Raw genomic sequence first — 22,820 nt, 5'->3', positions numbered from 1 at the left:
TCACCTGTTAAAGTTTTATCATGAGATTGTGGCAATTTGGTCACATCTTCAGGCAGCTCTGCTAATGCTGGTTCCCTTGCTGTTCCCACCACATCTGCAGTTCCTTCCTCTACTGAAGTCCTGAATCCCTGAAAGTCATGCATGAGGGTTGGACTCAGCCTCTTCCAAACTCCTGTGAATGTTGCTATTTTGACCTCCCTCCATGAATCGCAAGTGTTCTCAATGGCATCTAGAACGGTGAATTTTTTCCAGGAGGTTTTCAATTTACTTTACCCAGATCAGTCAGAGGAATCACTATCTATGGCAGCTGTCATCTTACAAAGTGTGTTTCTAAAATATAAGTCTTGGCTGGGTGCAGTGGCTCATGTCTGTAATCCCAGCACTTTGGGAGGCCGACGCAGGTGGATCACAAGGTCAGGAGTTCAAGACCAGCCTGGCCAAGATGGTGAAACCCTGTCTCTACTAAAAATACAAAAATTAGCCGGGCATGGTGGCATGTGCCTGTAATCCCAGCTATGCGGGAGGCTGAGGCAAGGAATTGCTTGAACCTGGGAGGCGGAGGTTGTAGTGAGCCGAGATCGCACCACTGCACTCCAGCTTGGGCGACAGAGCAAGACTCTACCTCAAAATATTTGTATATATGTCTTGAAATGGAAATTATTTTTTGATCCCTGGGCTGCAGAATGGACGAGGTGTCAGCAGGCATGGAAACAACACCCACCTCCTTGTACAGCTGCATCACAGCTCTTGGGTGACTGGTGCACTGCTGATGAGCAGCCATATTTTGAAAGGAATCTTTTTTGAGCAGTAGGTCTCAATAGTGGGCTTAAAATATTCAGTAAACCATGCTGTAAACAGATGTGCTGTCATCCAGCTTTGTTCCAGTGACAGAGCACAGGCAGCCATAGATTTAGCATGATTCTTAAGGGCCCTCGGATGAACAAGCATTGGCTTTGACTTAAAGTCCTCAGCTGCATCAGCTCCTCACAAGAGAGCCAGCCTGTGCTTTGAAGCTTTGAAGTCAGGCGCTGTCTTCTCTCTAGCTATGGAAGTCCTAGATGGCATCTTCTTCAATGTAAGGCTGTTTCATCTACATTGAAAATCTGTTGTTAGAGCAGCCACCTTCGTCACTGATCTCAGCCAGATCTTCTGGAGAGCTTGCTGCAGCTTCTCCATCAGCACTTGCTGCTGCACCTTACACTGTTATGTTATGGAGATGACTCCTTTCCTTCAACCTCATGAACCAACCTCTGCGAGCTTCAGAGTTTTCTTCTGCAGCTTCCTCACTTCTCTCAGCCTTCATGGAATTGAAGAGTGAGGGCCTTGCTCTGGATTAGGCTCTGGCTTAAGGGAATATTGTGGCTGGCTTGGTCTATCCAGACCACTCAGACTTTCTCAATATGAGCAGTAAGGCTGTTTCACTTTCTCGTTTTCTGGAGTAGCACTTTTAATTTTCTCCAAGAACTTTTCCTTTACATTCACAACTTGGCTAACTGTTTTACACGAGAGGCCTCATTTTTGGCCTATTCTTGGCTTTCGGCATGGCTTCCTCACTAAGTTTAATCATTTCTAGCTTCTGATTTAAAGTGAGAGAGGTGCGGCTCTTTCTTTCACATGAACACTTAGAGGCCACTGTAGGGTTGCTAATTAGCCTAATTTCAATATTGTTGTGTCTCAGGGAATAGGGAGGCTGGAGGAGAGGGAGCGAGATGGGAGAATGGCTGGTCAGTTACGCAGTCAGAACACACACAGCATTGATCAGTTATGCTCACTGTCTTCTATGGGCACGGTTCATGGTGCCCCAAAACAATGACAGTAACACCAAAGATCACGGATCACAGCTCAGGGATCCAACACTGTGGAAATTACCAAAAGGTAGCACAGAGACAGGCGATGAGCACGTGCTGCTGGGAAAATGGTGCCGATGGACTCCTCCATAGGGTTGCCACAAGGCTTCAGGGTGAGACGCAACCCCCGCGACGTGGAACAAAGCTGGAACGTGCTCCTAGGAAGGTCGTGCTCCTCAGACTCTTTATTTAGGTTTGATCAAGCAGTGAATTCAATTTGTGCTGCAGAAACAGTTGCCAGACCCTACCTTCTTGGAATCTAGAATCCCAATTGGGAAATTCCTGCCAAGTAGAGAACCAGTGGCTCAGTTGTTGCATGGTGCTGCTGTCATTACCCAAACAGCAGTCGATCTCCAGAGCAGGAGCCCCCGCTCCCACAGCAGCGAGGATGACGCCCACTGCGCCGCAGAGCTGGCTTGCGCCCGCCACCCCGTAGTACCCTGTGAGCTCTCCGAGAATCAGCCTTCGGGCACTGGAGGGTCCGGGAATGCAAGGCTCATTCTGCCCACCCCCACAGGCAGCAGCCAGGACCTGGTCTCTCCGCCATGTGGCCTCAGCATTTCCAGGCTCTCTGAGTGGTTTGTGATTCACAGAGCGTAGATCTCTCAGTTGCTACCTCATCTGTTTTTCAAACCCATTGTGCTTTTCCGCAGCCTCCCAGGTGTCAAAAGTTATTATTCTATTTTTTGCCAGTTCCATAAAACAGAACAGCTCTGCGTCTCAGAGTTGCTGCTGCACTCTGGGTGTCCCCCAGATCACAGCAGGAGCTGGCAGACGCAGCCTGTGATTGCTAATCATGAAAATGGAGAGGAAAAAAAGTTCTGAGCTCATCCAACGGAAGCGTTCACTCTGCTTCCTCCAGACTTCAAGAAGGCTTTAGTCAGGAAAGAAGAGCGGAGGAGAGAGGGAGGGAGGCTGTCGGCGAGTGGGTCACCATTCGGGAGCTCCAGGCCGCTTGCAGCAACGTCCAGGCTGTTTTGTATTGAGCGCTCACAGAAAGTCCAGGCTGAGTACCTCCTGTGCCACGCCGCCCCACTCACATTGAGTAACATGAGCCCCATTCACAGCCTTAGGGTGAGGAAATTGGAATTCAGAAGAGTTCGGTGACTTGTTCTAGGCCGCAGCTCTCAGGCAGCCACTTTGCACCTCGGTCTGTCTGCATCTCCGGCCTCTGTTCTTTACCTCTTCTGCCCCCGAAACACTCACTCGTGGGTCCTGTCCTGTGGCATGTCCACAGCTGAGAAACACGGGAGCCACTGCCCCCAACAATGTGGGTATTGTTAGATGTGTGTTTCCCCAGTGACTGTCGCGGTGACACGTGTTTTCATGTCCTGTGGGGCCACTTTCACCTCTGCTTCTGTAAGTTACTGCTCCCATCTTTGCCCCATTCCCACTGAGTTTTGTCTTTTTCTTGGACTGTGTAGGAGCTCCTTGTCATTGAGAATATGAACGTGTCTGCCACACAAGTTGCTAATTAAACAGCCACTGAATTACATCTCTGTACGGCGTGTACACAAGTCAGAGCCCACTTTTATAAGTTGTGTTTCTCGTCTGCCCCCCACAGTCATCCTGATATGAAACCTTCAGTGGCTCCCTCTTTCCCACAGAATCAAGTCAAAACTGAAGGGCAGCCTTGGGGTGTGTGGTCCTTCTCCATGTGGGTCCAGCTCAGGGATGCGTTGAAAGCAGCTTCCTTATCAGGTTAATTTTGGCGTTATTCCCACTCCACTTTCTTTCCCATGCCCTTGTCACGGCTCCGCATCCCACCCGTTCTTTGAGACGCAGAGCGGGCCTCTGCCTCCTCATTCGTTACCGACGTGCTGAGCCTTCCTTTCCCACTCTTCCCCAGTGGCGTCCATTGCTCACCCTACGCACAGCACCGAATGCCAGGAGAATGATCAAGACCTTGTGCTTTCACGCCCCTTCCAGTCTGCAGTTTTCCGAGTGTCTGTACGGCGCTGCTTTCCCTCCTCTAGCCGTCCACTGCAGTGCACCTGCAGGAGTGCTGGCTGATTTCTGGACAGTTTGGGTCCTGGGGACCAGACGTAGCAGTCATGGGCTGAGCCTTCTTCATTCAAGCAGCACCTGGGGCCGCGGCTCCCGTGCTGTGTGATGACCCACTCAGCCCACTCTCTTTGCCGCCGTGCCTGTCCCACGCTCCGTGGTGACTCTGCAGCATGGCCTGCCTACCACCCCTTGGCTCTTCCCACTCGGTTTCCTGCCCCACAGGCTCTCGGTCCTGTCCCTGCTCCGCTGACCAGCGCTCTCTCCCCTTCTCTGTCTTCAGGTGCCTCCCTCTTTCCTGGCCAAGGGTGGATGTGTGGAGGCAGAGTTGTGGACACCGCCTGTGCTTCCTGCCTGTTGGGGCAGCTTGGTCCCCATGGGGGCTGAAAAGAGCAACCTGGCCGTGGCTTGGCTGAGCTTTCAGTTGCTTTTTCCAGAAAGGCAGCAGGGGGCCTATCCACATCCCAGGCCAGGCTGAAAACCTGGGGTGAGGGGTGGGTGATGCTGCCTTGGAAATAGACATGGATTTCTTGAACTTACAGGAAGCATACACTATTGGGGTGTCAAAGAGTTTTTTGCTTTAATAGAAAATTCAGCACATTCTTTAAAATCAAATTCTCGGTTGCCTCTCTTGACCCACTTCGGTATTATTTTAATAGTGGATGATGGCAGCAAAGTCTGATTTTATGAAAAGGGAAGATGTTGGCCATTACAGTATTACCCACTTTTCTCTTTCAGGTGTGTCAATTAAAATCAATTAAAAAATGAATTATACGTATATGGATATATTCAAAATGAACAGTTTGGAACTATCTAGAATAAAAAGTAAAAATTCCTTTTGTGTCCCTTCACCAAATCTCACTCCCACTCGGAGGTAACAGACATTTCCTGTTTGCTGTGTGCCCTGTTTTCTGTGCGTGTTAAAATGTCAGACAGGACTGCATGATATGTGCTTAATGAAGAAAATCTAGCAGCCAGGGCCCTGAAATGGTCTAACCATCTTTGCATTATTGGTTAGTAATGAACCGGACCATCTAAGATGTCCCAGCCACCTTGTGGGCAGGGCCCCGCCCCTTCATCCTCTCAGAGGGGCTGAGGCAACGGGAAGACCCACAGCTGTGAGACACGAGACCGCATCACTCCGTGTGACTGGCAGTCTCATTGCACTCCCAAATTCCAATGAATAAAACCTAAAAGGAGATGGAAACGAATGACTGAATTGAACTATGTGAAGCTCAGCCTTATTTGGTGTATTAACAGAAAAAGTGACGTGATATTGAGACTTCAGATTAGTGACTTGAGGTGAGTTAAAATCAGTTCAGCTCAGTTTGGGTCTCACACACATGTGAGCTCAGATGTATGCATGTGACCCCACCCAATGGCTCTGAAGATGCGGTTCGCTCCTCAAACTTTCCAGACTTTTCTCTCCTCAGAAGTTTGCTGGGAGGAAGGAGAAGCGGGAGGAACAGAACCAGATTGACGTTCTCGCGTCTCTTCTTACTTGGGCGTATTTATAGCATCCCCGCTAAGGACGCCCTCGTTTTAGAGGAACATGTTTTACATTTTTTTTCCAGCCTCCAGGCTGCCTGGCAGCCTCAGGCGGAGAAGCAGATTGACTCGGTGTCAGGGTCACACTCTCAGGCCCCTTGGCGGCACAGACAGGGTGAGGGTGCCTGCTGGGGCCCCTCTCTCTCCTCTCCCTCCCGAGCGGCGTCTGTGCTGTGAATTTTCACGGAGACACAGGCTGATCCTTCGTGCGTCCTTGGCTGGCAGTTGTTGGTGACTTACAGTCATTCATGTGCTGGCAACGGATGGCCCTGCTGTCTTGTGTTGGGACAGCTGTGCGCATCGGCGTCATTGATATGATTTGAATTTGGTGCTATCTGGTGTGGCTTTGTAACTAAAGTCATAAATAGTGGAGAAACGATGTGTCTGGTTCTAAATTAACAGTGGGACTGGGTGCAGTGGCTCACGCCTGTAATCCCAGCACTGTGGGAGGCCAAGGCAGGCGAATTGCTTGAGCTCAGGAGTTCAAGACCAGCCTGGCAACATGGTGAAACCCCTTCTCTACAAAAAGTACAAAAATCAGCCAGGTGTGGTGGCATGTGCCTGTGGTCTCAGCTACTCGGGAGGCTGAGGTGGGAGGATCACTTGAGCCCAGGAAGAGGAGGTTGCAGTGATTAAGCCTTTGCACTCCAGCCTGGGCAACAGAGCCAGACTCTGTCTCAAAAACAAACCAACAAACAAATGGCGGGAGGAACACAAATCGTAGTAAGTATGATATGCAGGTTTCCGAGCCCAGATGTGCAGCCCTGGATTTTCAAGTCTTCCCTCAAGTCAGGACTTTAAGGAAAGAACTCTGGGTTTTGTGTTTCTGCACAATGAAGTTCTAATATCTGACTCCCAAACTTCTTCCCCGTGAGACTGCCTTAATGATGCTTATGTAGACTGGACTGGAATCCCCACTAAGAGAATAAATTACCCGTTAACCAAGACGGTCTCCAGGTGTGTGTGTGCCTTGGCTTGGAAGTTCAATTTCACAGTAGTTAGAATAGCTGCTTGACCCCACAGGCCTGAGAGGGGAGGTAGGATTCAAGGAAGCTGGAGAGTGAGCCCAGCAGGGGCATGTCCTAAAAACCCCGAGAAGGTATTGGAGTGCCCGGCTGGGGTGTGGGTGTCAGCTGGGGGTGGAGGCGGGCGTGCCCTCCCGAGGGTGTTTTGCTGGGGGTTCCTCTGCTGAGTGGGCCCGTCCTTGGTGATTGTCCCTGGTGCACGGCTGGCTTGTTAAGCAGGGGCGAAGCGTGCACAAGGTCACCTTTCTCCAGCATCCTCATCTTCATGGTCTCGCTGGGAGAGTGGCCGGGGGTGCCTGAATCAAGGGAACTAGAACAGGTGCTGAAGCTGTTCCCACTCGCAGGAGGAAGAGCAGCATCTGGCCCCAGACAGGGGGAGCTGGGGAGTCCTCAGGGCCCTTCGGGGCCTCCCTAGACAGGGGAAGCCGGGGAGTCCTCGGGGCCCTTCGGGGCCTCCCCAGAACTGTGCTCGTTGGTGGCATCCACAGGCTGCTCCTCTGGGAGCTTGTTGCTTTTCGGGTCCTGAGCCCTCCCGCCTGCCACCGTGGCGTCAGGGAAACTGGTGCCTCCCAAGCACCCCCAGCTCTTCTGCATGAGAAGGTTGGAGACTGTGCTGCAGCCGGGGTTCTTATGATCACCTTCCTCCCTCGCCAGCATCTGCCCTGGAGCTGAACGAGGACCACCAGGCTCCTCAGGGCCTGTCTCCGTGGGGCACCAGGAGGCGCAAATGCCAGTTTGCATCATTGCCCTGTTTTCAGCTGTCCAGGATGCCCATGTCTGCAGAACGCAGTGTGCACAGTCCCACAGGGCACCCCGTGGCATCACCCGGCCTCTCTCTTTGACTTCTCTCCCGCTGAACAGCGAGTGCTTCCCCAAAGCCATGGGCAGCCCCACTCCCGACTCCCTCAGTGGTCAGACGGTCACCCGCCTCTTAGCCGACCTTGGGAAGAGGGTCCCTCTCAGATGGGCACCCGCCTCTTAGCTGACCTTGGGAAAAGGGTCCCTCTCAGACGGGCACCCGCCTCTTAGCTGACCTTGGGAAGAGGGTCCCTCTCGGAGGAGGGGTGCCCACATTCTGCTGGGCGGTTGACTCTGGTGGAGGTGGCCCGTAGTTTGGGCGGGCACATGGGCATGCTCTGTGCAACCTGCAGCATTTACTAAGATGCTCTTGAAAGACCGTTTTCCCTTTTATCTGCTGGGTTGACTTTCCCATTTATCAAATTAACTTTCTAAACCCTTAAATTTCAGAGATTTGAGAGGATAAGGAATTGTTTAGTAGATGAAACTCATTTTCATATTTCCAGAGGCATGTCCAAAAACTAAATGGGGTTGAGCATTTCTCAGGGAAAAGTTGACTCGGGGTGCCAGTTACACGCAGTGTTTTCCAGAGGTCCTGGGGTCCAAGGCCTTCCCATGGCTGAATCTCCCGGTTTACTCCGCTTTTTGATGAAGGAGCAAGTTTTGAATGTGGAGTCCTGTAGAGTTCGCTGTGCCTCTTGGGTTGGCCTGGCTTAGCTGTGGCTGATGACCAGCTGTGAGGGGACACAGTGGGGCCGCACGGGGGCTGGGCCAGTGCTGCACCCGCCCAGCGCCAGGGCTGACCTCATTTGCTTATAGCCTGCTTTTGCTTTTGGTCTCCTAAGCGCGAGATCTTGATGTCTACCTAGAAATGTCACTGACGTAGGAGAAAGGGATTTTTTTTTTGCTTTTACCATGAAGGGTTGTCATGGGCCTGTGTGAAAGACATTAAGTAAATTAGATATCAGCCCCAAGGAATGTTAATATCTGAGATTTATACTGGAGTAGTTTTCGCTTCCCAATTTATTTTCTTTTAAATACTTAAAACATTTGGTTTTTAAGCTATTTATAGCCAACCTTTTTTTAAAAATTAATGTTTAAAATGTTTTTTTCCCCCCAATCTATCATGGTTGACTGTTAGACAGTTGGATGGCTGTGTGGTTTTCAAAGCTGAGGTCAAGTTTGAATGAGCTCATTTCAGATCACTCTAGATTTTCTGAGGCTGACAGTGTCCTTGGGACACCATGTTTGGGGAATGTGTTTTTGCAGTTTACGAAGCACCCGCTGCTCAGAGAGCCGGGAAACCTTTCCTTCTCTTTTCTTGGAGTCTAGTTGCCATGGAGATTGTCACTAAATTATGGACGAGGGAGAGGCGAGCCGGCACTTGGAGGTCTCTGATACGCAGGCTTCTCAATCAGGGTGCACAGACACAGCAGAGGCCGTGCAGAGGCTGCAGCTTGCCCTCCCGGCTGTCCTGGGCGTGGATGTAGCCTCCCGAAACAGCTCGTCAGAGGGGTTTATTCAGAGAACGGAAGTGTGCTTATGGCAGGAAGAGCTTCAAGGGTTCTCACATATGTTTACAGCTGCTCTTTCTCCTTAGCAGGACTCTGAGTGGCTGCAGTGTTTAGAGAAATCTGCCAAATCCTGATTTAATTTTGGTTCATTTGCTAACAGGATTGGAGGAGATAGGAAATTGATCTTGGGGACCGTGAAGCTGCTGAGGTTCAGCCACGACCAGGAGTTTGGAGGGATAATGTCTGTGCGTGGCCATACCATTTTGAAAAGCACAAAACCTTTTATCATTAAAGCAGAAATATCGAACCAAACGTGGATTCTAAAGATTATGCATACAACAAACACATGTCTTTCGGTGCGTGGGTAAAACCCATAACTAATTTCAGGCCTAATCTCAGTGGCTCAGCAGTGCAGTGTGGGCAAATGCTTAACCACCAGCATTTGCAGCATTTGGGACCTGATTTGCAGCCGGGTTCTCTAGTGTAAGGCCCCCGCCCCGCCGCCACTGCTGCCTCCCAGTTACTGACGCAGTGTCACTGAAGGTGGAGTTGGGAGGAAATGTGGACGGCCAGCTCTCGGGCCCTTGCATGCAACGGCCTTGTTATTTTAGAGGCGCCGTCTAATCATTCTTGGGACGTTGGTCTGCTCTGTCTTTTGAGGCAGTTTCCATAGAGGTGGGGTCTGTGTTAAGAGTGCATTGAAGGGTGAGTGATTTCCCTCTAACTGATGGGTGATGTTCATGGTCTGAGTCTGTGTGCAAAGCTTAGCCTGGGGCTGCTTTGGAACCTGCTCTCTCTATTCCAGGCCTGGGTGCTTTGAGATATTCTTGAGCTGGAATAACACCCAGCACCTGCTCTTGTGACTGAAATGGCGTAAAGTAATAATAGTGCACTGCATGGGGGTTAATGCCTTTCTGAGTGTTTTATATGTTATCGTGTTAGATTTCTGCACCGTCACTGACAATAACAGGGCATGTATTTTTGTTCTCATTTAACAGATGACAAACTTGGTCCCTTAGTGTTAAATGTGGGTGACACACAGGCAGAATCTGATCTGGAACCACACTGATCGGGCGTCTTCCCATCCTTCCTCCAATCAGCTCACCCTTCGGCTTCTCAAAGGCCCACGGAATTTATGGTGGTTCATCGTTCTTTGCCTTAAGATGCAGGTTCTAGATTTGCTACTGGGACCCACGGTGACTTTGATTTGTCTCTTGTGAACTCTCTATGATGCTGGCAAAAGAGAGGAAATGGTCACGTATTGGTCAGATGAATGTTGCAGGGAAGAATAATTGCATTACATGAAATGCCTGCAGGAACCGTGGTGGGAATGGAACCGTGGTGGGGCAGGAACCGTGGCGAGGCCGGAACCGTGGCGGGGCCGGAACCGTGGCGGGGCCGGAAGCATGATTGGAGTCAGGTGGGCCACATTTCCTGGCTGTCCCATGTCTTCTCTTTGCCCTGACAGTGGTCTCAGCCGACAGAACGGGCAACAGACACGCACCCAGCCTGAGAGGGGCCCTGGGGCCGGGGCGCCCGCCAATTGTCAGAGTCTTCTTGGTTGCTTTTCAATTCAGAAATCAGAGAAATGATTTGTAGAGAGTTTTCCTTTTCTTTATTCATTTAGCTTGAAATCAATTTTGTTAGTAAGGTTTTTTTTTTGTTTGTTTGTTTTTGTTTTTTTGAGACGGAGTCTCGCTCTGTCCCCCAGGCTGGAGTGCAGTGGCGCAATCTCAGCTCGCCACAACTTCTGACTCCCGGGTTCAAGCGATTCTCCTGCCTCAGCCTCCCTAGTAGCTGGGACTACAGGCACCTGCCACCACACCCAGCTAATTTTTGTATTTTTAGTAGAGACAGGGTTTCACCATGTTGGCCAGGTTGGTCTCGATCTCCTGACCTTGTGATCCACCCGCGTCGGCCTCCCAAAGTGCTGGGATTACAGGTGTGAGCCACTGCGCCCAGCCATTAGTAAGGTTTTAAACTTGTCCTCAGAATTAGAAGAAATCCCAGAGACTGGAGACCAGCAGTGCTGTGTGTGGGTGAGACCCTGTTGAAGATCCCTTGGTAAGTCCAGTGGGCGTGGTCCATAGGAGGGGGAGGCGGGAGGGGAGCTGGCTCAGGAGAGGCTGGCTTTGCCTCCAAAGAAGAGCCCCACCCTCTTGTGCTGGCCTCTCGTGCTGGCCTTTTCCTATTGTCCTTCAGAGAGGAGGAAGCTTTGCTCAGCTTCTCACCAATTAAAAGAGCACTGTGAGGTTGGACAGGAGTGCAATTTATGAAAACAAAACAAAAAAAACCTTTGACATGGTGAAACCCCGTCTCCACTAAAAATATGGTGAAACCCTGTCTCCACTAAAAATATAAAAATACAGAATTAGTCGGGCATGGTGGTGCACGCACGTAATCCCAGCTACTTGGGAGGTTGAGGCAGGAGAATCGCTTGAACCTTGGAGGCAGAGTTTGCAGTGAGCTGAGATCTCACCACCGCACTCCAGCCTGGGTGACAGAGCAAGACCTCATCTAAAAAAAAAAAAAATCCATGTGATCTATAAAATCTCACGGAAACACACACCTAAGGTCACGCATTTCACTGTAACATGAGCGGGAAGATGTACTGAGCCTGTTCTCCACCTCGGTGAATGCTCCGACCCCCTCTTGCCTCACCTCCCACTGTATACATTTGTTCCTTTTTAATTTTTTGAAGACTGGTCAAGTGCAGTAGAGAGAAGGCGGAAAGGGTACAACAAGGAGCTAGATTGGGAACTGACTGAGCAGCCGGTCGGGGTGACGCAACGCTACCTTCCTACCCCCACCCTTTGCTCCTGTTGTCGCTGAGTCGTGCTCCGTCGAGGGACACACCACGTCTTGCTTGTACCCACACAGGTTGTTCCCAGCATTTGGCTGCTGTGAGCATCCTCGCGTGAACCTTTTCAGGAGCTGAGCTCTTAGAGGAGAAGGCAGCGCTGTGTTGAGCACCCACCGGGAGAAGTTCCGTCAAATCCAGGGTACTTGAGATTCTGGAAAGATGCAGAAATGTAAAAAATAAAAACAAGCAACAAGCGGTTTATCCCACAAGTCACTAGGAAAATGTATTGTTGTCTCTCTAACAGTCAAATCCTATTGGTCGGCCTTAGTTTTTCTGCAAAACAGAATAAATTTTATGTTTTTTTCCCCAGTTGTTGAAATAAAATGCTATAACCATATTTGCTTATAAACTATGTCCAAATGAGATTCTTTTATTTCTACTTGACGATTTTCCACCATGTCAGGCCCTGTTATGATGGCAGCCCGTTGTGATGCACTAGGACAGATCCCAGCTCCCAATTCTTTTATGAGGCACTAGGACAAATCCCAGCTCCCAATTCTTTTATGAGGCACTAGGACAAATTCCAGCTCCCAATTCTTTTATGATGCACTAGGACAAATCCCAGCTCCTGTTATGGCAACAGCCCGTTATGATGCAATAGGACAAATCCCAGCTCCCAATTCTTTTATGATGCACTAGGACAAATCCCAGCTCCTGTTATGGCGACAGCCCATTGTGATGCAATAGGACAGATCCCAGCTCCCAATTCTTTTATGATGGCACTAGAACAAATCCCAGCTCCCAATTCTTTGCATTTTTTTTTTTTTTTTTTTGGCCAGGTTTTCTCTCTCACTTGCTGGGGCACGAACAGATGCTCTTTGGTGTTTTTAATGATTGAGGAGCATCTTGCTGTTGTCGTTCTCATTTGTTTTCAAGGAACAGAAACGCTCTCGAGCGAGTGCTCGGTGGAGCTGGGCAAGCTGCTGACCACAGGGGAAGATGACTCAACAATTGGGATTTTGCTTCTTCTTTCTTTAAAAAGATGCAAAAGAACTAGACCCACACTTTACACATTTTTTTGGTGTGTTCATTGTGGACTAGTGTTGTTGTTGTTGTTGTTGAGACAGGGGAGATGGTCTCCCTCTGTTGCCCAGGCTGGAGTGCAGTGGTGCTATCTTGGCTCACTGCAACCTCCCCCTCCTGGGGTTCAAACGATTCTGCTCCCTCAGCTTCCTGAGTAGCTGGGATTACAAGTGCCTGCCACCACCACTGGCTCATTTTTGTATTTTAGTAGAGACAGGATTTCACCATGTTGGCCAGGCTGGTCTCAAACTCCTGACCTCAAATGATCCACCTGCCTTGGCCTCCCTAAGTGCTGGGGTTACAGGTGTGAGCCACTGTGCACAGCCAAAAACAGTGTTTTCCTTTCCTCAGTCTGAAAGCCTGACACTGTTGATCCACCAGGAGTGTGCATGGGTGTGCATAGTGTTGATCCACCAGGAGTGTGTGTGGGTGTGCATAGTGTTGATCCACCCGGAGTGTGTGTGGGTGTGCATAGTGTTGATCCACCGGGAGTGTGCATGGGTGTGCATAGTGTTGATCCACCCGGAGTGTGTGTGGGTGTGCCTACTGTTGATCCACCAGGAGTGTGCCTGGGTGTGCACACTGTTGATTGACCAGGAGTGTGTGTGGGTGTGCATACTCTTGATCGATTGGGAGTGTGTGGGTGTGCACATTGTTGATCGGGAGTGTGCGTGGGTGTGCACGCTGTTGCTCCACCGGGAGTGTGTGTGGGTGGGGGGTGTGCATGCCTGTATGCACAATAGAGTCTCGATCTTTGTGGGACAAGCATAGGGGACTGGGCATCAGTCAGGAAGCTTGGGCTTGTCTTGCCCTGCCACCACCCTGCGCACCCCTCTCTATTCAAGCCACAGCTCTGTGCACGTTGGATTTCTTACGTGCAAAACAAGGGGGTCAGCCATGCCGGTGGTAACACCTGGAAACACCTGGAAGCTTTGAAAAATAGTGATGCCCAGACATAAACTGGCGCCAGTGAATCAGAATGTCAGCTGAGGGCGGCGAGGGGCGGGGTGGGGGCGGGACCCAGGCTTTGCCGTCCTTTCTTTTTCTCTGAAGCTTCCCGAGGTGACTGTAATGTGCTATCAGAGTTGAGGATCTCTGGGCAAGACGATCCTGATGAAACCCTCCCACCCTGAAACGCCAGCTGTGCTTTGTGTAACAAAGCCAAAGGTGCGGTGAGGGAATTCAGTTTCCTCATTATTACTTCTATGGTTTGTTAGCAAAAACATAATTAGCATGAAAGATATTTCTCTGTGGACATGCAAATCAATGCAAATGACTAATTTGCCATTTAAGAATTTGCAAATTGCAATGCAAAATTGTCTTAGGTAAATAACCCTAGTCTAATTGAGTGACAATATTCTGTGTTTTGTTATTAAGGCTATTAGCTGAAGATGTAGGAAGACTGTAAAAATGCCACAATTTTTGCTTATACATGCAGTGTGAGTTATAATTTACGGGAGATTTTATGCACATTGTTTCACTTGAGCCCCACAATTCCAGTTGCATCCTAGACTAGCTACTGTAAAGTAGCACAGGGTAAATGGGTGGCGGTGAAAGCAAGAATTTGAACAGCTTGCCACAGTGTAACAAACGCAACAGCAACAGAAACATCAACAGGGCCTTCCCCGGGGGCTCCCAGGTCTTTGGCAGCAGAATTACCCAAGTTTTGGCCAGTGACTTAAACACACGCCATGTAAAAGGATGAGATGGGAACAGAACAAAGAGCCCAGAAATAAACCTGACCATATATGGTCAACTAGGTGTGAAGCAGACTCTGGGGTAAGAGCCGTCTCTTTAAATGGTTTCGGGGAAACTGGACATCCACACTCAAAAGAATGAAATGGGACCTTACCTTACACCGTTCTCAAAAATCTGCCCAAAATTGGTTAAAGACCCAAACACAAGATCTGAAACTGTAAAACTCTGAAAACATACAGGAAGAGCTCCTTGACATTGGTCTCGGCAAGAAGTTTTGGACAAGACCCAAAAACACAGGCAACAAAAGCAAAATAAATGAGTGGGACTATATCAAACTGAAAAGCTGCCGTGCGGTAAAGGAAACCATCAAAATGAAAAGGCAGCCTACAGGGCGGGAGAAAATGTTGAAAAACCATAGATCTATAAGGTGTTAATATCTAAAATATATAAGGAACTCACTCAACTCAATAGCAAAACAAACAAACAAACAACACACAAAAAAAACCCAAAAGCCAAAAAACCCCCAAACCCTCCAATTTTAAAAAGGGCAAAGAACCTGAATAGAACATTTTTCCAAAGAGGACATACAGATGGCTGACAGGTATGGGAAAGGTGCTGAGCATCACTAATCATTGGAAACGCACATCAGAGCCCCAGTGACTTACCCTCTCACACCTGTGAGAATGGCTTTTATCAAAAAGACAGAAGATAACAAGTGTTGGCAAGTGTGTAGAGAAAAGGGACACTTGGATGCTTTGTTTGAGACAGTCTCGCTCTGTCCTACAGTGGCACGATCTCAGCTCACTGCAACCTCTGCCTCCTGGGTTCAAGTGATTCTCCTGCCTCAGCCTCCCGAGTAGCTGGGATTACAGACATGTGCCACCATGCCTAGCTAATTTTTATATTTTTAGTAGAGATGGGGTTTCACCGTGTTGGCCAGGCTGGTCTTGAGCTCCTGACCTCAAGTGATCCACCCGCCTCAGCCTCCCAAAATTCTGGGATTACAGGCGTGAGCCACTGCACCTGGCCAACTTGCACACTGTTTATGGAAACAGTGTGTAGGTTCCTCAAGAAATTAAAAACAGTGCTACCATCAACGCCTCTTTTGGTTATAGATCCAGAAGAAATTAAATGGGCAGAAGAGGTGTCTGCACCCTGATGCTCATTGCAGCACTATTCACCAGGGCATGGAGACAGTACAGGTGTTTCTGATGGATGAATGGATAGAGCAATTGTGGTATACATACACAATGGATACTATTCAGCCTTAAAAAAGGAGATCCTGTCATTTTCAAAACATGGATGAACCTGGAGGACATGATGTTGTAAATAGTGTGAAGTAAGTGAAATAAGCCAGGCACAGAAAGGCAGATACTGCATGATCTCACACATATGTAGAATCTTAAAAAAAAAAGTTGACTACATAGAAACAGAGAGTGGAAAGCTGGTTATGGTTTGGGGGGTGGGAGTGGCGAGGAATGAGAAGATGTGGATGAGAGGGTAGGAAGCTGCAGTTTTGTGGGAGGAGTGAGCCCAGGGGCCTAATGCACAGCGTGAGGACTGTATGTAGTAACAACATTGGATTGTTTACTGGTAATTTGCCCAGAGGGTGCCTCTAGGAGAGGGTGGAGGCAGAGGTGTTAACTCTTGACCACAGTGGCCACCTCAGTATGCATGTATGTATCCAACATCATGTTGCACGCCTCAAATGTACATCCAAAAATTTTACAAAATGATGAGTTGGATTTTGTTATCTGCTTTAAGGATGTCCATTTTATTACTGCATGGATGCATCATGCAACAGGAAGTGGGGTGTGTGAGGCGTGAGGCAGGGATCTGGGTTCAAGGCCTGAAAGTATGTAAAGCTGCTCAGCACGTGTGACTGCGGGTCCCCAGGCAAAGTAGCTTAGCCCACATGACTGCACCCATAACTGCTGGCTTTCTGGGTTCTAGGCTTACGTGATCAGAGACCAGGTTTGTTTTTGCCCAGCCCAAGTCCAGCACACATGTGGCAGGTAGCTGGCTTTTCCCAAGCATCCACTGGAGGCCCCTGGATCAATGCATTCAGGGCAGTGTCTTGGGAAGGATATAAACTGTGCAGTGGTTAAACAGCTGGTACTTGGACTGTGAGAGCTGAGCCTTTCAGTGCTTCCAAGTACTGACTCTTTCTAAGCCTCAGTTTGCTTGTCTCTAAAGTAAGCATAGCAATAATGCCTTCTTTGTAGTAAGATTTAATGTGATACTGCAAATAAAATATTTAGTACAGTATCTACTAAAGATTAGATGGCATAGATTAGATGCTCAGGAATGTTAGTGAAAACAGTTATCATAATGAAAAAATGCCCTCATGAGCTTCTGTCTACTGCAGGGATAAAGTGGTAAATAAATGATGTGTACAGGAGATACAGTAAGGGAGTAAGGGGTGTGGTATGAATGAAGAACCAAGAAAGCATTTTAAGAATTCAAAGGGGTCACGGGGTGGGAAAGAAGAGACATCCAGTGGGAGAATCAAGACAGTCTCTGGGGGAGTAATCATGATGGATCTTGATAGGACTGGATTTGAAGGCTGGAGAGCCACCAGAGTGTCACTTCGCACAAACTCTGCAAGATGGGCACTCTTAGTATCTCCACATACAAGGCCCAGGAGAGGAGGCCCAGCATGCTTTAGGAAATGTCCACAGCCACACAGCTGATTGGTGCTGGAATCTGGACTTGTATCTCAGCAGCTTAGCTCCAGTCTGCGATAAGAACACCATAGCCTCTGTAACTAGCTGTGTTATCCTAAGAAAATTACTTAGCCTTTCTGAACTTCAACTCCCTTATCTCTAAAATGGGGATAATACATTGATCTGAAGGTCAATGATAATGAGCATAAGGGTGTAGCACAGAATCTGGCACTGGTGATATTTACTCATTGGCATGGCAATGATAGCGATGGTAAGGATGATGATGGTGATGATGAAGTGATTGTTTACTAAATGGCATGCCAATGATGGCGATGGTAAGGATGATGATGGTGATGATGAAGGATTATTTACTAAATGGCATGGCAATGATGGCGATGGTAAGGATGATGACGGTGGTGATGAAGGATTATTTACTAAATGGCATGGCAATGATGGTGATGGTAAGGATGATGATGGTGACGATGAAGTGATTGTTTACTAAATGGCATGGCAATGATGGTGACGGTATGGATGATGACGGTGATGATGAAGTGATTACTTACTAAATGGCATGGCAATGATGGCGATGGTAAGGATGATGATGGTGATGATGAAGGATTATTTATTAAATGGCATGGCAATGATGGCGATGGTAAGGATGATGACGGTGGTGATGAAGGATTATTTACTAAATGGCATGGCAATGATGGCGATGGTAAGGATGATGATGGTGATGATGAAGGATTATTTACTAAATGGCATGGCAATGATGGCGATGGTAAGGATGATGACGGTGGTGATGAAGGATTATTTACTAAATGGCATGGCAATGATGGCGATGGTAAGGATGATGATGGTGATGATGAAGGATTATTTACTAAATGGCATGGCAATGATGGCGATGGTAAGGATGATGATGGTGATGATGAAGGATTATTTACTAAATGGCATGGCAATGATGGTGATGGTAAGGATGATGACGGTGGTGATGAAGGATTATTTACTAAATGGCATGGCAATGATGGCGATGGTAAGGATGATGACGGTGGTGATGAAGGATTATTTACTAAATGGCATGGCAATGATGGCGATGGTAAGGATGATGATGGTGATGATGAAGGATTATTTACTAAATGGCATGGCAATGATGGCGATGGTAAGGATGATGACGGTGATGATGAAGTGATTACTTACTAAATGGCATGGCAATGATGGCGATGGTAAGGATGATGACGGTGATGATGAAGTGATTACTTACTAAATGGCATGGCAATGATGGTGATGGTAAGGATGATGATGGTGATGATGAAGGATTATTTATTAAATGGCATGGCAATGATGGCGATGGTAAGGATGATGACGGTGATGATGAAGTGATTGTTTACTAAATGGCATGGCAATGATGGCGATGGTAAGGATGATGATGGTGATGATGATGGTGAAGATAGTGATGATATGGTGATGACGATGATGGTGATGATGATGATGGTGTTGATGATAACAATGATGGTGATAACAATGATGATGGTGACGGTGATATTGACAACAATGATGATGACAATGAGGATGGTGATAACAATGATGATGATATGGTGATGACAATGATGGTGATGATGGTGGTGATGGTAATGGTAATGATGATGGTGATGATGGTGGTAATGATAATGACAACATGATGGTGATGACAATGATGGTGATGGTGATGATGACAACAATGATGGTCGTGATGGTAATGATAATGATGATGAGATGCTGATGGTGATGGTGATGATAGTAATGATGCTGATGGTGATGGTGATGATAGTAATGATGATGATGGTGACAATGGTGATGATTTGGGGTGGGGGACAGAAATGAGAAAAGATGGAGTTAGGGGATGATGGGCTCACCTGCCCTTTTGGCCCTCCAGTTCTGTACTTGCATATTGAGGGGCTTGGTCTACCTGGTGTTGCCCAAATGACTAGAACCATGTAGGAAGCTTATAAAAGTACACAGATCCAGATCCTATACCAGACTGACCAAGTCGGCATCTCCCATCTGGGGCTTTGGGGTTTATGGTTTTAGTACAGTTGACTGTAATGTGCAGCCAGGCTGGGGAAACATGAAACTAATGATCTGAGTTCAAATCATCACTGCTAAAATGAGCACAAGGGAATAGAACCAGTTATTCGTGCTGAATAAAATAAATGTAACCCCCAAGTTGTTGCACTGCTATTTGAAATAATTTATGTTATTGATTTTCTTCAATAAAACTGAGCTGTGTGTGGATTTGCCTGAAGGGGTCTGTGTCCCAACCTTCAACTCATCCTCTGTTTTCCTGGATCCCCACACAATCGTAGGCAGCTTAGCTTGTAGTTTTGCGGACTGTGAGCTGGACATCCTTCCTGTGTTTGAAAATGAACCTGTCATCAGCACAGGTTTTACGTGAGAAACACAGGGCCTGAGGCAGCTATATGACACGTCTCAGGGTGGAAGGAGGGGAGAGGAATTCATTGAGGAACCACTCCTTTTTGTCTTAGTTTTAAGGCAGTAAATGACTTGTCATCCTCAGGAAAGCTAACAGGCAGGTGTTCCCTCTTTCTCTACCACCATTTTCATGGCCGAGACAGGACCAGGCACCCCTTAATTTTCACATATCATCTCTAGGACTCTGTGTGTTTTCTGTCAAATGCAAGTACGGTATCGCATCATGTGAGAGCAGAAGGTGTGACAGAGGCCGGGTGTGGTATAGATGATGCCAGCACACCAGACAAATGCCAGATAGTAGAAGCCACAGGGGCCTCCGGTGCATGGCGTCTGAGGGTCTTTATGGGCCTGCTGGGAGGGAGGTGGTCAGGAGCATCAGCCCGCTGTATGAGGATCTGCACTGCCTTTGAGAAGTGACATCCTGGGATAAACAAGCTCACCCAAACTCCTCCAGAAAGAACCCAACAATTTATTTTTATTTGGAGATATAGGGCGAGTGTTGGGATCAAAGCCTGGGGCAAGATGGTCCCAGAGAGGGGCCCTGGTGTGTGGACCTAGAAAGCAGAGCAGCACAGGGCGTGGGCGGAAGCACAGGGGGTCTGAAAGCATGGAAGGAGAAGTACGAACCGAAGCACCCAGGCGGTTCTATCCAAGGACGGGAGGCGTTCACCCAAGCGCCGGCTCCTGCAGCAAGGCAGGGATTCTCTGCCATGGGGTGAGTATGGGTTGTTTCCTTGGAAGTCACAAATATGCCAGTGTCTTTAGGCTCAGTAACTCAGACTGTAGGAACCCACACTAAAGACGTGTTTTTAAAATGTGGGTGAAAAATAATTGAAAGCACGTTTGTTACAGCTTTATTTATAATGTTGAAAAACTTTAAAACAACCCATATGACCAAGCATAGCAGGGAACAGTGCAGTCAGCCTCTACAGCAGGTGGCCAAGAGGCTCTTTCCATGGTTCCGGGAAATGCTCGCGTGTAGTACCCAGTGGGAGTGGCAGGAGACAGCCCCGAGGCTACAGAATGAATTTGAGTGCTTTGGAAAAAGTACGTAATTATGCTTTGGAAAACACTGGAAGAAAATGCACCTAGAATGATATTTTTTTTCACCATTTTCTGTATGCTTCAGTTTTTATGCTGTAAGATTTTTTTTTTTTTTTGAGACGGAGTCTCGCTCTGTTGCCCAGGCTGGAGTGCAGTGGCACCATCTCAGCTCACTGCAAGCTCTGCCTCCCGGGTTTATGCCATTCTCCTGCCTCAGCCTCCCGAGTAGCTGGGACTACAGGCGCCTGCCACCACGCCCGGTTAATTTTTTTGTATTTTTAGTAGAGACGGGGTTTCACTGTGTTAGCCAGGATGGTCTTGATCTCTTGACCTCGTGATCCACCCCCTTCGGCCTCCCAAAGTGCTGGGATTACAGGCATGAGCCACCGCGCCCGGCCTTTATGCTGTAAGATTTTATTGTTCATAGAACCAAGAAAAAAATGAAAGACTGGGAATTTGGAAATTTGAGGTTTCTTCTATGCTTCTTGACCAGGTCACTTCTGATCTTAAGTGAAGCCACATGACTGTCGGGCAGAATCCTCCATAGTAGAAAGGAAGAGCTGTTATTTCTCTGCAGTGTGTCTTGGGTTTGAGGATGTTGTAGTTTGTGCAATGATGGTCTGCATCTCTAGAAGATTTTTCCTAACCAACTTTATGTGGATCAGCTGACTTTTCAGCTAGCTGCCAGCGTGCACACGTTTCTCTCTGTAATGTCTTCTATTTTGAGGTACTCTGTGCTTTACTGGAACTACTATCTGTTCTTGTATATTTCTAGGCAGGCTTTGCCAGCCAAAGGTGGGTGGAACATTTCTTGCATCAACATCAGAATAAGCTCGATCATGAACGATGGTTGAGGAAGGGAGCTGGGGCCATGGCTTGACTTTCCCATGGGACCGTGCAGGACAGAGCAGATGAATTCTCATCAGATGGCACTGCGTATGCTTGGTGACTGTGAGTTTTCATTTCCGGACAGCTGGATGACCCTCCTGTGCTGACGGCACACAGCCCCCGTAGCAGGAACATGTAGATAGAGTCCCATCCTGGAGCTGGATGACCCTCCTGTGGTCTCGGCACACAGCCCCCGTAGGAGGAGCATGTAGATAGAGTCCCATTCTGCAGCTGGATGACCCTCCTGTGGTCTTGGCACACAGACCCTCTAGCAGGAACTTGTAGATAGAGTCCCATCCTGTAGCTGGATGACCCTCCTGTGCTCATGGCACACAGCCCCTGTAGCAGGAACATGTAGATAGAGTCCGATCCTACAGTTGAATGACCCTCCTGTGCTCTTGGCACACAGACCCTGTAGCAGGAACTTGTAGATAGAGTCCCATTCTGCAGCTGGATGACCCTCCTGTGCTGACGGCACACAGGCACTGTAGCAGGAACTTGTAGATAGAGTCCCATCCTGCAGCTGGATGACCCTCCTGTGCTCACGGCACACAGCCCCTCTAGGAGGAGCATGTAGATAGAGTCCCATCCTGCAGCTGGATGACCCTCCTGTGCTGACGGCACACAGGCACTGTAGCAGGAACTTGTAGATAGAGTCCCATCCTGCAGCTGGATGACCCTCCTGTGCTCACGGCACACAGCCCCTCTAGGAGGAGCATGTAGATAGAGTCCCATCCTGCAGCTGGATGACCCTCCTGTGCTGACGGCACACAGGCACTGTAGCAGGAACTTGTAGATAGAGTCCCATCCTGTAGCTGGATGACCCTCCTGTGCTCTCGGCACACAGACCCTCTAGCAGGAACTTGTAGATAGAGTCCCATCCTGTAGCTGGATGACCCTCCTGTGCTCACGGTACACAGCCCCTCTAGGAGGAGCATGTAGATAGGGCCCCATCCTGGAGACTGTGGATGTTGCCATGCTCCTGGGTTTCTCGGTTGCCTCTTGGTGGTTCTATGATGGAGAAACGGCAGGGCCCAGCACCATGATGTGGGCAGCCACAGCGGCTGGACAGGGGCCACTGGACATTTAGGGAGATCCTGTGACACACAGGCTGTGGCCTTTCTCCGAGTCATGTGTGTGTGGCCCTCAGGGTAGTGGGAGAAAGAGAAGCTATGACATTTGGACTGAGGCGTGCATGGGTTTGCGGCTCAGTATAGAGTAATAGGTAGGGGTGGTGCAGAGCCGACGTCCTTTTGCGGGCCCCTGGAGCCCGTTCGTCCCAGGCAGGGGCTCTGGATTCTGGATCCCGTTCGTCCCAGGCGAGGGCTCTGGATTCTGGAGCCCGTTCGTCCCAAGCGGGGCCTCTGGATTCTGGAGCCTGTTCGTCCCAGGCGGGTGCTCTGGATTCTGGAGCCCATTCATCCCAGGCAGTGGGG

At 48.7% G+C, this 22,820-nt stretch overlaps 1 protein-coding gene across 13 annotated transcripts in view, besides 1 other annotated feature; it reads left to right on the top strand.

The window, feature by feature from the left end:
- The window catches only part of PTPRN2 (protein tyrosine phosphatase receptor type N2), a 1,048,768-nt gene that overhangs the window by 105,716 nt on the left and 920,232 nt on the right, over positions 1–22,820 (top strand). The window lies entirely within an intron of this gene.
- Positions 12,723–12,887: a silencer, noted in NCBI's record as "fragment chr7:158261913-158262077 (GRCh37/hg19 assembly coordinates)". NCBI's record gives its function as "represses an EF-1alpha promoter that drives an FKBP-Casp9 reporter gene in an ReSE screen in K562 erythroleukemia cells {active_cell/tissue: K562}" and the evidence as "EXISTENCE:reporter gene assay evidence [ECO:0000049][PMID:32094911]".

This window comes from Homo sapiens, chromosome 7, assembly GCF_000001405.40.
Source record: "Homo sapiens chromosome 7, GRCh38.p14 Primary Assembly".
NCBI classification, from domain to species: Eukaryota; Metazoa; Chordata; class Mammalia; order Primates; family Hominidae; genus Homo; species Homo sapiens.
Note: the sequence above shows the minus strand (reverse complement) of the source record. Positions and strands in the feature narration are given on the sequence as shown.